Source organism: Homo sapiens, chromosome 17 (genome assembly GCF_000001405.40).
Source record: "Homo sapiens chromosome 17, GRCh38.p14 Primary Assembly".
In the NCBI taxonomy this organism is placed as follows: domain Eukaryota; kingdom Metazoa; phylum Chordata; class Mammalia; order Primates; family Hominidae; genus Homo; species Homo sapiens.
Genome location: NC_000017.11, coordinates 43,298,156 through 43,311,175, shown reverse-complemented (window position 1 = coordinate 43,311,175; position 13,020 = coordinate 43,298,156). Strand labels below are relative to the sequence as shown.

Sequence of the window (13,020 nt, the reverse complement as noted above, 5' to 3'; positions counted from 1 at the left end):
GGGCATGGTAGTGCATGCCTGTGGTGCCAGCAACTTGGGAGGCTGAGGCAAGAGCATCACCTGAGCCCAGGAGGTCAAGGCTGCAGCAAGATGTGACTGGACCAGCACACTCCAGGCTGGGCGACAGAAAAAAAAAAATCCCAAATGCAACATGTTATTTATCCCATTTTATACTTGATGAAATTGAGGCTGCCTAGACTGACTTCCCAAAATCCTCAGCCTTCTGCTTCCTCCTCCCAGAGTATAAAAGGGACCCCCACTTTTGGCTGGCAATTTTATATCTTTATGATCAGTGGATCTTTATTCTCATCCACCTTAGAGGAAAGTGGGTCAGGGTTTATAATCTCCATTGAACAGATGAGAAGGCTGAGTTTCAGGAAGGAAATTCGAGCTAACCAAATTTTCCAAGAGACTGACTTACCTCTGTGATACATATTGAAGAAGGTGGAAACCTGAATGCTGAGGATGGAATGTGAAGAGCCTGGCACAATGATTAAGATCACAAGAGGGCCCATGTGGAGTGGCTCATGCCTGTAATCCCAGCAGCACTTTGGGAGGCCCAGGTGGGAGGATCACTTGAGCCCAGGAGTTTGAGACCAGCCTGGGCAACACAGTGAGACCCCATCTTTTTTTTTTTTTTTTTGAGACGGAGTCTTGCTCGGTCGCCCAGGCTGGACTGCAGTGGCGCAATCTCGGCTCACTGCAACCTCCACCTCCCGGGTTCACGCCATTCTCCTGCCTCAGCCTCCTGAGTAGCTGGGACTACAGGCGCCCACCACCACACCTGGCTAATTTTTTGTATTTTTAGTAGAGACGGGGTTTCACCATGTTAGCCAGGATGGTCTCGATCTCCTGACCTCGTGATCCGCCCACCTCAGCCTCCCAAAGAGCTGGGATTATAGGTGTGAGCCACCGCGCCCAGCCAGTGAGACCCCATCTCTACAAAAAACAAAAATATTAGCCAGGTGTAGTGGCACACACCTGTAGTCCTACCTACTCAGGAGGCTGAGATGGGAGAATCGCTTGAGTCCAGGCATTTGAGGTTACAGTGAGCTGTGATCACGTTACTGCTCTCCATCCTGGACAACAGAGCGAGACGCTGTCTCAAAAAAAAAAAAAAAATCACAAGGTTATTGGATATCAGGGATCAGCTTGCTGCACTTTACCACCTCTAGGAGCGCTGGGTCATCCCCAAGATCCGATTCTCTCCTTGCAGTAGCAGGGGGCAGCAGAGAGCAGCAAAGCAGCCCTTGCCTCTCAGTTTGTTATGACCTCCCAGCAGGCCAGAGGAAACATCCATTCTGTGCTTATTTGGTTTATGAGAAAATTCAGGCCCAGAGAGGGAAAGTTCAGGGTCTTCCAGGTGATGGATGACACCAAGGCTCAAGGCCCAGGCTTCCAAGTGACCACACTCCATGATGGTGCCTGCTTTCACTTTTTTTTTTTTTTTTTTGAGACAGGATCCTGCTCTGTCCCCAGGGATCAAGCAATCCTTCTACCTCAGCCTCCTGGGAAGTGAGAAGCTGAGACTACAGGTATGCGCCACCACACCTGACTACTTTTTAAATTTTTTGTCAAGACAGGGATTTCCCTATGTTGCCCAGGCTGGTCTTGAACTCCTGCCTCAAATGATCTACCACTTTGGTCTTCCAAAGTGCTGAGATTACAGGTGTGAGCTACCACGCCTGGATGATTTCATTCATTCAGAGGGCACATTTTTGTTCCATATTTTTAGACCTCAGAAACCAGGATGCATCTTACATCCAGTGCCAGGAAAAAGCACTACAGCTGTTTAAATGTCAGCATCTTTTTTTTTTTTCTCCTTTCTTCCTTTCTTTCTGAGGGGTACATAAAATAATGGTGCCTCTCACAATCCATGACATCCTAAACGTCATGAAATACTACAATAAAAGCCTCTGTTTATCTCTGTTTATTAAACCCTGTGCTTGACAATGGATTACTCTTTTTTTTTTTCTTTGAGACAAAGACTTGCTCTGTCGCCCAAGCTGGACTGTAGTGGCGCCATCTCCCTCGGCTCACTGCAACCTCCACTTCTGGGATTCAAGCAATTCTCCTACCTCAGCCTCCTGAGTAGCTGGGATTACAGGCAGCAGCCACCATACCCAGCTAATTTTTGTATTTTTAGTAGAGACGGGGTTTCGCCATATTGGCCAGGCTGGTCTTGAACTCCTGACCTCAGGTGATCTGCCTGCCTCGGCGTCTCAAAGTGCTGGGATTACAGGTGTTAGCTAATGTACCTGGCCGGATTACTTCTTTTAATATACCAATACCTCCAGGATGGAGGTATTATTACCCCATTTTGCTGGTGAGTGAACTGATAATAGAGGTAGAGCAATTGATCATATCTGTACAATTAATAATGGAGATGATTTTTTTTGTTTTTTGTTTTTGAGACAGAGTTTTGCTCTTGTTGCCCAGACTGGAGTGCAATGGCGCAATCTCAGCTCACCGCAACCTCCACCTCTTGGGTTCAAGCGATTCTCCTGCCTCAGCCTCTCGAGTAGCTGGGATTGCAGGCATGTGCCACCACGCCCGGCTAATTTTGTATTTTTAGTAGAGATGGGGTTTCTCCATATTGATCAGGCTGGTCTCGAACTCCCGACCTCAGGTGATCCGCCCGCCTCGGCCTCCCAAAGTGCTGGGATTACAGGCATGAGCCACTACGCCTGGCCTTATTTTTTTTTTTTTAAGACTGAGTCACACTCTATTGCTCAGGCTACAGTGCAGTGGCATGATCTCAGCTCACTGCAACCTCTGCCTCCTGGTTTCAAGCAATTCTCCTGCCTCAGCCTCCAGAGTAGCTGGGATTACAAGCGCCTGCCACCATGCCCAGCTAATTTTTTTTTGTAACTTTAGTAGACAGCATTTCACCATATTGGCCAGGATGGTCCCAAACTCCTGACCTTAAGTGATTCACCTGCCTCGGCCTCCCAAAGTGCTAGGATTACAGGCATGAGCCACCATGACCGGCTGATTTTTTCTTGTTTTTTTTTTTTGTTTTGTTTTGTTTTTTTCTGAGACAGAGTCTTGCTCTGTTGCCCAGGCTGGAGTGCAGCGTGCAATATCGGCTCACTGCAACATCTGCTTCCCAGGTTCAAGCGATTCTCCTGCCTCAGCCTCCTGAGTAGCTGGGATTACAGGCGCTGGCCACCATGCCAAGCTCATTTTTTAATTATTAGTAGAGATGGGGTTTCACCATGTTGGACAGGCTGGTCCCGAACTCCTGACCTCAAGTGATCTGCCCGCCTTGGCCTCCCAAAGTGCTGGGATTACAGGCGTAGGCTACCGTGCCCGGCCTTGCAGCTGATATTTCACAGGACTTATCTGCTTGTGCTTCTGTGTGTGTGTGTGTGTGTGTGTGTGTGTGTGTGTGTGTGTGTGTGTGTGTGTGTTTGAGATGGAGTTTTGCTCTTTCGCCCAGGCTGGAGTGCAGTGGCGCCATCTCGGCCGACCACAACCTCTGCCTCCCACATTCAAGCGATTCTCCTGCCTCAGCCTCTTGAGTAGCTGGGATTACAGGCGCCCGCCAGCACGCCCAGCTAATTTTTTTGTATTTTTAGTAGAGACGGGGGGTTTCAGTAGAGACGGGGTTTTTCAGTAGAGACGGGGGGTTTTTAGTAGAGACGGGGGGTTTAGTAGAGACGGGGTTTCACTATGTTGGCCTGGCTGGTCTTGATCTCTTGACCTTAGGTGATCCACCTGCCTTGGCCTCCCAAAGTGCTGGAATTACAGGCGTGAGCCACCATGCCCGGCCCTGCTTGTGCTTCTAACCACACTTTGCTTCTTCCAAAACAGAAGATTCTGGGTCTTGAATAACAACAAACTTGCTTTATTTTTTGTAGAGATGGGGGTTGGGAAATGGTGGGGTGGGCATGCCAGTTGATATGTCGTGTCTATGTTGCCCAGGCTAGTCTGGAACTCCTGGGCTCCAACAATCTTCCCACCTTCACCTCCAAAAGTGCTGGGATTACACGCATGAGCCAATGTCCCAGCCTACAGGCTTTATTTGTTTGTTTGTTTGTTTGTTTGACAGAGTCTTGCTCTGTCACCCAGGTTGGAGTACAGTGGTGCAATCTTGGCTCACAGCAACCTCCACCTCCTGGGTTCAAGCGATTCTCCTGCCTCAGCCTCCCAAGTAGCTGGGATTACAGGCGGCCGCCACCATGCCCGGCTAATTTTTTTTTTTTTTTTTTTCTGAGATGGAGTCTTGCTCTGTCACCTAGGCTGGAGTGCAGTGGCGCTATCTCGGCTCACTGCAACCTCCGCCTCCCAGGTTCAAGCAATTCTTCTGCTTCAGCCTCCTGAGTAGCTGGGACTACAGGCATGTGCCACCACACTCGGCTAATTTTTTGTATTTTTAGCAGAAACGGGGTTTCACCATGTTAGCCAGGATGGTCTTGATCTCCTGACCTCATGATCTGCCCACCTTGGCCTCCCAGTGTGCTGGGATTACCACCTCGCCCAGCCACTTTGGGTGATCTTAAATGCACAGTCCCAGGCCAGGCGTGGTGGCTCGCGCCTGTAATCCCAGCACTTTGGGAGGCCGAGGCGGGCGGATCACTTGCAGGACTTGCTTGAACCAGGGTGGCGGAGGTTGCGGTGAGCCAAGATCATGCCATTGCACTCCAGCCTGGGCAACAAGAGTGAAACTCCGTCTCAAAAAACAAAAAATACAATAAAAATAAAATTTAAAAATTAAAAAATTAAATGCACAGTCTCTATCCCCAAAAGCCTTCCTGGGCTTCAGAGAATAATCCTCTCACCTGTTCACTCCACCTACTGAGGACACAGTCCTTGGAAGGGTCAGGTAGGATAATAATACCAACCTGTAGCTAAACAATTTTATACTTTATCTTTTATTTCCCATCCATTATTCTATTTGATCCTTATACCAGCTATGTGAAAGAAGGTAACAAGTTATCACTTATTCTTCAGGCAAGGAAACTGAGGTCCAGACAGATTAGGGAGGGTCTCCAGGATTATAGGAAGAGGTGGGGTGAGGCCCCAGGTGGGGGTGGGGACAGACAGAGCCCACTGCTCCCACCACCTCTGTCTCTTCCCACTCAGACCCCTCTGCCTATAACTGGAACCACCTCACAATGTGGTTACTGCCAGGGCAACTGGGCAGGCCCCGCCTGCTTTGTTGAGGGAGGGAGGCATTTTTCCCAAGGCTCCCAGGGAACATCTGCAAAGTACCTTTCTCTCCTGGGTCCTGATCAGATAGAAGACCTTCCCACCTTAGCTTTGAGTCTCAGTGGGCCCCATGGACAATTCAGCAGTAAAGTCTTTTCTCTCTGGCTTCTTTCCCCCACTCTTCCTCAGAGGCTTTTTAGTACAGATGGGGTTTCTCCATGTTGGTCAGGCTGGTCTCCAACTCCCAACCTCTGGTGATCCGCCTGCCTGCCGCCTCCCAAAGTGCTGGGATTACAGGTGTGAGCCACTGGCCCAAGCTTTTTTTTTTTTTTTTTTTTTTGAGACGGAGTCTCACTCTGTCGCTGAGGCTGGAGTGCAGTGGCGCATCTCGGCTCACTGCAAGCTCCACCTCCTGGGTTCGCGCCATTCTTCTGCCTCAGCCTCCCAAGTAGCTGAGACGACAGGCACCTGCCACCACGTCTGGCTAATTTTTTTGTACTTTTAGTAGAGACGGGGATTCACCGTGTTAGCCAGGATGGTCTCGATCTCCTGACCTCATGATCTGCCCGCCTCAGCCTCCCAAAGTGCTGGGATTACAGGCATGAGCCACCGCGCCCATGCTTTTTTTTTTTTTTTTTTTTCAGAGACAAAGTCTTGCTCTGTCACCCAGGCTGGAGTGCAGTGGCGCGATCTCGGCTCACTGCAGCCTCTGCCTCCCGGGTTCCAGTGATTCTCCTGCCTCAGCCTCCTTGGGTAGCTGGGATTACAGGTGTTCGCCACCACGCCCAGCTAATTTTTGTATTTTTAAGGAGGTCTCGCCAAGTTGGCCAGGCTGGTCTCGAACTCCTGACTTCAGGTGATCTGCCCGCCTCGGCCTCCCAAAGCGCTGGGATTACAGGCGTGAGCCACTGCGCTGGGCACTTTAATTCTGTCTTTACTTTCTGAGATAGTCTCGCTCGGACGCTCAGGTTGGACTGCAATGGCGTGATCTCAGCTCGCTGAAACTTCCACCTCCCGGATTCAAGCGATTCTCCCGTCTCAGCCTCCCGAGTAGCTGGGATTATTGACGCGCAGCACCACGCCCGGCTAATTTTTGTGGTTTTTGTATCTTCTGTCTTCTGCTCTTTAGTACCGCATAGAGCCACAGAAGACTAGTGAGTCGAACAAACGGCCCCTCTTGCAGCAGTTGTTGATCACAGGGCTGCCCCCGGTACTCATCCTGTGTCTCTCGTCCAAATCCCCGCTCCTCCCCAGCTATCACCTCTGCCGATGCTGGTGGTTTCCCTGGGTACCGGGAACCAAACTCTCATTCCCCAGGAACCTAAGTCAGGGTTCCTGCACATTCACAGTTATGGGTGGCCCTGGGAGTAACACCTGGCACCCAAACAGATCACCAGAGTCCACACATAGTCCACCTGCCCTCCCTGCATAAGATCAGCTCTTCTTCCTCCCGATGATAGATCAGGGTCAATGATCCCTGCCAAGATGGCGACTGCTCCAGCCTGCTGGTCCAACCTGTCCAGCCACAGCTGTAGCTTGAAGGCTTGAAGTTCAATGGGACCCTCTCCTGCTTTCTACAAACTGGTTCCTTTATTTTTATTTATTTGGGACGGGGTCTGGCTCTGTCACCCAGGCTGGAGTGCAGTGGTGCAATCACTGCTCACTGCAGCATCCACCTCCCAGCATCCATCCACCCTCCTGCCTCAGCCTCTGGAATAGCTGGGGTACAGATAGGCCGCAGCCCGAACAGGGTTTCACTAGGTTGCCTAGGCTCTTTCTTTTTGTTTGCTTGAACCCAGGAGGCAGAGGCCACTGTGCCCAGCCACTTGGGGTGATCTTAAATGCACAGTCCCAGGCTGGGCGTGGTGGCTCACACCTGTAATCCCAGCACTTTGGGAGGCTGAGGCGGGCGGATCACCTGAGGTCTGGAGTTTGAGATCAGCCTGACCAACGTGGAGAAACCCTGTCTCTACTAAAAATACAAAAATTATCCGGGCATGGTGGTGCATGCCTGTAATCCTAGCTACTTGGGAGGCTGAGGTAGGAGAATCTCTTGAACCTGGGAGGCGGAGGTTGCAGTGAGCCGAGATTGCGCCATTGCACTCCAGCCTGGGCAACAAGAGTGAAACTCCATCTCAAAAAATAAAAAATAAAATGAAAATAAAATTAAGAGGTAGACGCTAGGCTTGAGTCCAGAATTAGAAATCTCCAGAGCTAGGGTGTTTTCTAAGAAGCCCCTTTGCGTTCTGGGGGCTCAGACCTCAGTGAGGCTTAGTAGGATTTTGTATTTTCTTTCATTCTGACTCAGCACAGACATTTATGGGGGAGATGGAGAGAGGAGAGATTAAGGAGAAAAAGGTAATTCCGGAGACCTAAGTGGGGAGAGATGAGCAGAGGAAGGGTCAGATGATGATGCTGGAACCCTCTGAGGAAGAATGGGGGAAAGAAGCCAGAGAGAAAAGACTTTACTGCTGAATTGTCCATGGGGCCCATTGAGACTCAAAGCTAAGGTGGGAAGGTCTTCTATCTGATCAGGACCCAGGAGAGAAAGGTACTTTGCAGATGTTCCCTGGGAGCCTTGGGAAAAATGCCTCCCTCTCTCAACAAAGCAGGCGGGGCCTGCCCAGTTGCCCTGGCAGTAACCACATTGTGAGGTGGTTCCAGTTATAGGCAGAGGGGTCTGAGTGGGAAGAGACAGAGGTGGTGGGAGCAGTGGGCTCTGCCTGTCCCCACCCCCACCTGGGGCCTCATACCATCCCACTATCATGGGTAGTGCCTACCACTGGGAGGCCCGGCGCCGGCAGATGGCTTTGGACCGAAGGAGATGGCTGATGGCCCAGCAGCAGCAGGAGCTGCAGCAGAAAGAACAGGTGCATGGGATAGGCTGGGTTCTTCAGGGTCCTCTCTGGAGCAGGAAGGGAATGGAGAATGGAGAGAGATCCCTAGGAAGCTGCCTACTATTTGGTGAATGCTGTTTGCTGGGGGTAGGAGGAAAGCAAGGTCATTTGGCGTTCTCTCAGATAGACTGTGTCTGTGTTGGGGGGACCACTATCAGCTGACTCAATTTCCCTCTTGTAATAGTCTAGGGGAAGGCAAGGGTACTAGGCCTGGGAGGTTTAAAGATGTTCTGTCCAATAGGGTAACCCCCAGCCTGTATGCTATATTGAGCCTTGGAGTGTGACTGAGGAACCAAATTTTTTTTTTTTTTTTTGAGATGGAGTTTTGCTCTTGTTGCCCAGGCTGGAGTGCAATGGTGCAATCTTGGCTCACCACAACCTCTGCCTCCCGGGTTCAAGTGATTCTCCTGCCTCAGCCTCCCGAGTAGCTGGTATTACAGGCATGCGCCACCACGCCCAGATAATTTTGTATTTTTAGTAGAGACACGGTTTCTCCATGTTGGTGAGGCTGGTCTCAAACTCCCGACCTCAGGTGATCCACCCAACTCAGCCTCCCAAAGTGCTGGGATTGCAGGCATGAGCCATGATGCCCGGTCAGTGTTATATAAATTTAATTTAGTTTTTAAAAATGTTATTTTGGCCGGGCATGGTGGCTCACACCTGTAATCCAGCACTTTGGGAGGCCAAGGTGGGTGGATCAGTTGAGGTCAGGAGTTCAAGACCAGCCTGGCCAACATGGCGAAACCTGGTCTCTACTAAAAGTACAAAAAGTAGCTAGGCATGGTGGCGCTTGCCTGGAATTCCAGCTACCTGGGGAGACTGAGGCATGAGAATCACTTGAATCAGTGAGGTGGAGGTTGCAGTGAGCCAAGATAGTGCCACTGCACTCTGACCTGAGTGATAGAGTGAGACTCTTGTCTCAAAAAAAAATTAAAAACTTTATTTGATTTTATTATTGTAATACAGACAGGGTCTCACTATGTTGCCCTGGCTGGTCTGGAACTCCTGGACTCAAGCAATCCTCCCACCTAAGTCTCCCAAAATGTTGACAAGTGTGAACCACCATGCCTGGCCTTTAATTAATTAATTCACTTATTTATTTTATTTTATTTTTTTGAGATGGAGTCTTGCTCCAGTCTTGCTCCCAGCCGGGCACAGTGGCTCACACTCTGTCTCTCCTGGAGAGAGGGAGATTCCCTTTCCGGGTCTGCTAAGTAACGGGTGCCTTCCCAGGCACTGGGGCCACCGCTAGACCAAGGCCTGCTAAGTAACCAGGGCCTTCCCAGGCACTGGCATTACCGCTAGGCCAAGGAGCCCTCCAGCGGCCCTTCTCTGGGCGTGAATGAGGGCTCACACTCTCGTCTTCTGGTCACCTCTCACTGTGGCCCTTCAGCTCCTAACTCTGTGTGGCCTGGTTTCCCCCAAGGTAATCATAATAGAACAGAGATCATTATGGTAATAGAACAAAGAGTGATGCTACAAACTAATGATTAATAATAGTCAGATATAATAAAATAAAGGTTTTCCCAGGTAATGCGCAGTAGAGCCCTCAGCCCTCCGCTGAAGTAGCGTAGGAGAGGAAGGGAGAGGTAAATGCTGAGCCCGCAGGCGGCAGTCTGTGCCTCGGAGAGAAACTTTATCCCAACCTTGCTGGGGGCCTTGACGCCCACCTTGCCCCAAGAGCACCCCGGCAGCCACCCCTGCCCTCTGGGGTCCTGCCACCCCGAGCCCGACCTTCCCCCTTTTCCCCCGCGCCGGGCCAATAGCCTCCTAACTGCGTCGTGCTCATCACCTTTGCGTCGTTTCTTCGCTCCACAAACGTTTACTGAGCGCCTTCCACACGCCAGGCGCCAGACTCGCGCGGGGAAACAGGGATAAGCACTGAGGAGGGGTCCCAGCCCTCAGCGATGGGATTTCAGAGCGGGAGATAAAGGGTTGCCCAGAAGGGTGGTGAGTGGAATGGCTGATATAAACAACGGGGGCGCGATGAAATACACAGGAGGGCTGCTAGTCACATATGGGGCGGGTGCCGAGGGCCCTTGACTAAGGGAGGCTTCCTGCACGGGTGACACCCAAGCGGAGTCCTGACGACCTGCGTCAGAAGTAGCCGGGCGAGGAGGAGGGGAAAGGAATCCACGTCCCGAGCAGAGAGGCAGCGTTCCCTACACAGCACAGGACACGGTCCGCGCACAGAAGCCGCAGGAGACGCAGGCACAGGGGCTGGGGAGAATCCTTGCTGGGCCCTCGCCGCCTCCCTCTGCCGGGTGTCTGGTGCCAGCCTCCTGCCTGGCAGAGGAACTCCAGCCCCTGCTCCCGGAAGCCCCTCCAGGCCTTCGGCTTCCCTGACTGGGCATGGGCCCCTCGTCCCCTCGTCCCCTCGGGTACGGGGCCGGTCTCCCCGCCCGCGGGCGGCGAAGTAAAGGCCCAGCGCAGCCCGCGCTCCTGCCCTGGGGCCTCGTCTTTCTCCAGGAAAACGTGGACCGCTCTCCGCCGACAGGTCTCTTCCACAGACCCCTGTCGCCTTCGCCCCCGGTCTCTTCCGGTTCTGTCTTTTCGCTGGCTCGATACGAACAAGGAAGTCGCCCCCAGCGGAGCCCCGGCTCCCCCAGGCAGAGGCGGCCCCGGGGGCGGAGTCAACGGCGGAGGCCACGCCCTCTGTGAAAGGGCGGGGCATGCAAATTCGAAATGAAAGCCCGGGAACGCCGGAAGAAGCACGGGTGTAAGATTTCCCTTTTCAAAGGCGGAGAATAAGAAATCAGCCCGAGAGTGTAAGGGCGTCAATAGCGCTGTGGACGAGACAGAGGGAATGGGGCAAGGAGCGAGGCTGGGGCTCTCACCGCGACTTGAATGTGGATGAGAGTGGGACGGTGACGGCGGGCGCGAAGGCGAGCGCATCGCTTCTCGGCCTTTTGGCTAAGATCAAGTGTAGTATCTGTTCTTATCAGTTTAATATCTGATACGTCCTCTATCCGAGGACAATATATTAAATGGATTTTTGGAGCAGGGAGATGGAATAGGAGCTTGCTCCGTCCACTCCACGCATCGACCTGGTATTGCAGTACCTCCAGGAACGGTGCACCCCCTCCGGGGATACAACGTGTTTCCTAAAAGTAGAGGGAGGTAAGAGACGGTAGCACCTGCGGGGCGGCTTGCACGCCGAGTGCCTGTGACGCGCCGGCTTGACTTAACTGCTTCCCTGAAGTACCTTGAGGTTCCTGATGTGCGGGCGGTAGACGGTAGGCTTATGCGGCACGCTTTCGTTTCCACCGTGGCTACTGCGCTTTGGGAAGGCCACGACCTCCTCCTTTGGGGAGGTCCTTAGGATCTCAGCTTGGCAGTCGAGTGGGTGGCGACCTTTTAAAGGAATGGGACCCACCCGGAGTTCTTCTTTCTCCTGTCTCTCTCTCTCTCTCTCTCTCTCTCTCTCTCTTTCTCTCTCTCTCTCTCTGTCTCTCCGTCTCTCTGTGTCTGTCTCTGTCTCTCTGTCTCTCTCTCTGTCTCTCTCTCTCTCTCTCTCTCTCTCTCTCTCTCCTCTCTCTGTCTCTCTCTCTCTTTCCCTCTCTCTCTCTCTTCCCCCCCCCCCGCCTCTCCCTCGCTCTTTTGGTTTCCCCCACCCCCTCCCAAGTTCTGGGGTACATGTGCAGGACGTGCAGGTTTGGAACATAGGTACACGTGTGCCACGGTGCTTTGCTGCACCTATCCACCAGTCGTCTAGGTTTGAAGCCCCGCATGCGTTGGCTATTTGTCCTAATGCTCTCTCTCCCCTTGCCCCCCACGCCCCCGTCAGGGCCCGGCGTGTGATGTTCCCCTCCCCGTGTCCCATGTGTTCTCGCTGTTCAACTCCCACTTCGGAGCGAGAACATGCGGTGTTTGGTTTTCGCTTCCTGTGTGGTTCTGCTGGGAATGAGGCCTTCCAGCTTCATCCACGTCCCGCAGAGCTGAGCGTCCGACGAAGACTATCTCAGAAAATAAAGACAGAATGAAAGAGCCCGGCGCGTGGCTTACGCCTGTAATCCCAGCGCTTTGGGAGGCCGAGGCGGGCGGATCGCCTGAGGTCAGGAGCTCGAGACCAGCCTGGCCGACATGGCGAAACCCCCTAAAAATACAAAAATTAGCCGGGCGTGGTGGCCTGCGCCTGTAATCCCAGCTACCCAGGAGGCTGAGGCAGGAGAATCGCTGGAACCCGGGAGGTAGAGGCTGCAGTGAGCCGAGATCGCGCCACTGCACTCCAGCCTGGGCGACAGAGCGAGAGTTTGTCTGGAAAAAAAAAAAAAAAAGCCAGGGTGAGCGGTGGCTCAAGCCTGTAATCGCAAGCAACACTTTGGGAGGCGGCAGCTGGGCAGATCACCGGAGGTCGGGAGTTGGAGACCAGCCTGAGCAACGTGGAGAAACCCCATCTGTACTAAAAATACAAAGTTAGCCGGGCGTGGTGGCACATGCCTGTAGTCCCAGCTGCTCGGGAGGCTGAGGCAGGGGAATCGCTTGAACCCGGGAGGCGGAGGTTGCAGAGAGCCTAGATCGCGCCATTGGACTCCAGGCTGGGTAACAAGAGCGGAACCTCCGTCTGAAAAAAAAAAAAAAAAAAAAAAATTGGGAGAATTTTGCTCCCACTGCCGTCAAAATCCCACGTGTATTTCACACTTACAGCACAGCTCCATTAGAACTGACCACATTTCCAGGGCTCCCTAGATACCTGTGGCTAGCGGCTGCCATACTACACCGTGCTGGGCTGTAGAATGGGGATGACAAGACAGGGCGGCGGAGATTGTGTTGGCGTGAAGCGAGGGAAACACTCGGCCGCAGGACAAAACTAAAACAGCAAGGGGGCACCGAAAGACTCAGTAGTCCACGTGAATATCCTGATTATGTTGTAGCTGAGATAATGTAGGGTCCACCCCTACCGGGTCTGTGGGTTTTCTCTTCGCGTGTGTGCGGAGACGAGAGATCGAAGAGATAAAGACAGAAGACA

The 13,020-nt window shown here is 52.5% G+C and overlaps 1 non-coding gene across 1 annotated transcript, besides 1 other annotated feature; it reads left to right on the top strand.

The window, feature by feature from the left end:
* Positions 5,776–6,439: an enhancer, noted in NCBI's record as "H3K27ac-H3K4me1 hESC enhancer chr17:41382086-41382759 (GRCh37/hg19 assembly coordinates)". NCBI's record gives its function as "activates a minimal SCP1, AML or CMV promoter by ChIP-STARR-seq in naive H9 embryonic stem cells {active_cell/tissue: H9 hESC(naive)}" and the evidence as "EXISTENCE:reporter gene assay evidence [ECO:0000049][PMID:30033119]".
* LOC124904144 (U2 spliceosomal RNA) lies at positions 10,945–11,135 on the top strand. Its single transcript, XR_007066017.1, has one exon. It is a non-coding gene; the product is annotated as a U2 spliceosomal RNA (small nuclear RNA).
* Positions 11,136–13,020: the final 1,885 nt, after the last annotated feature.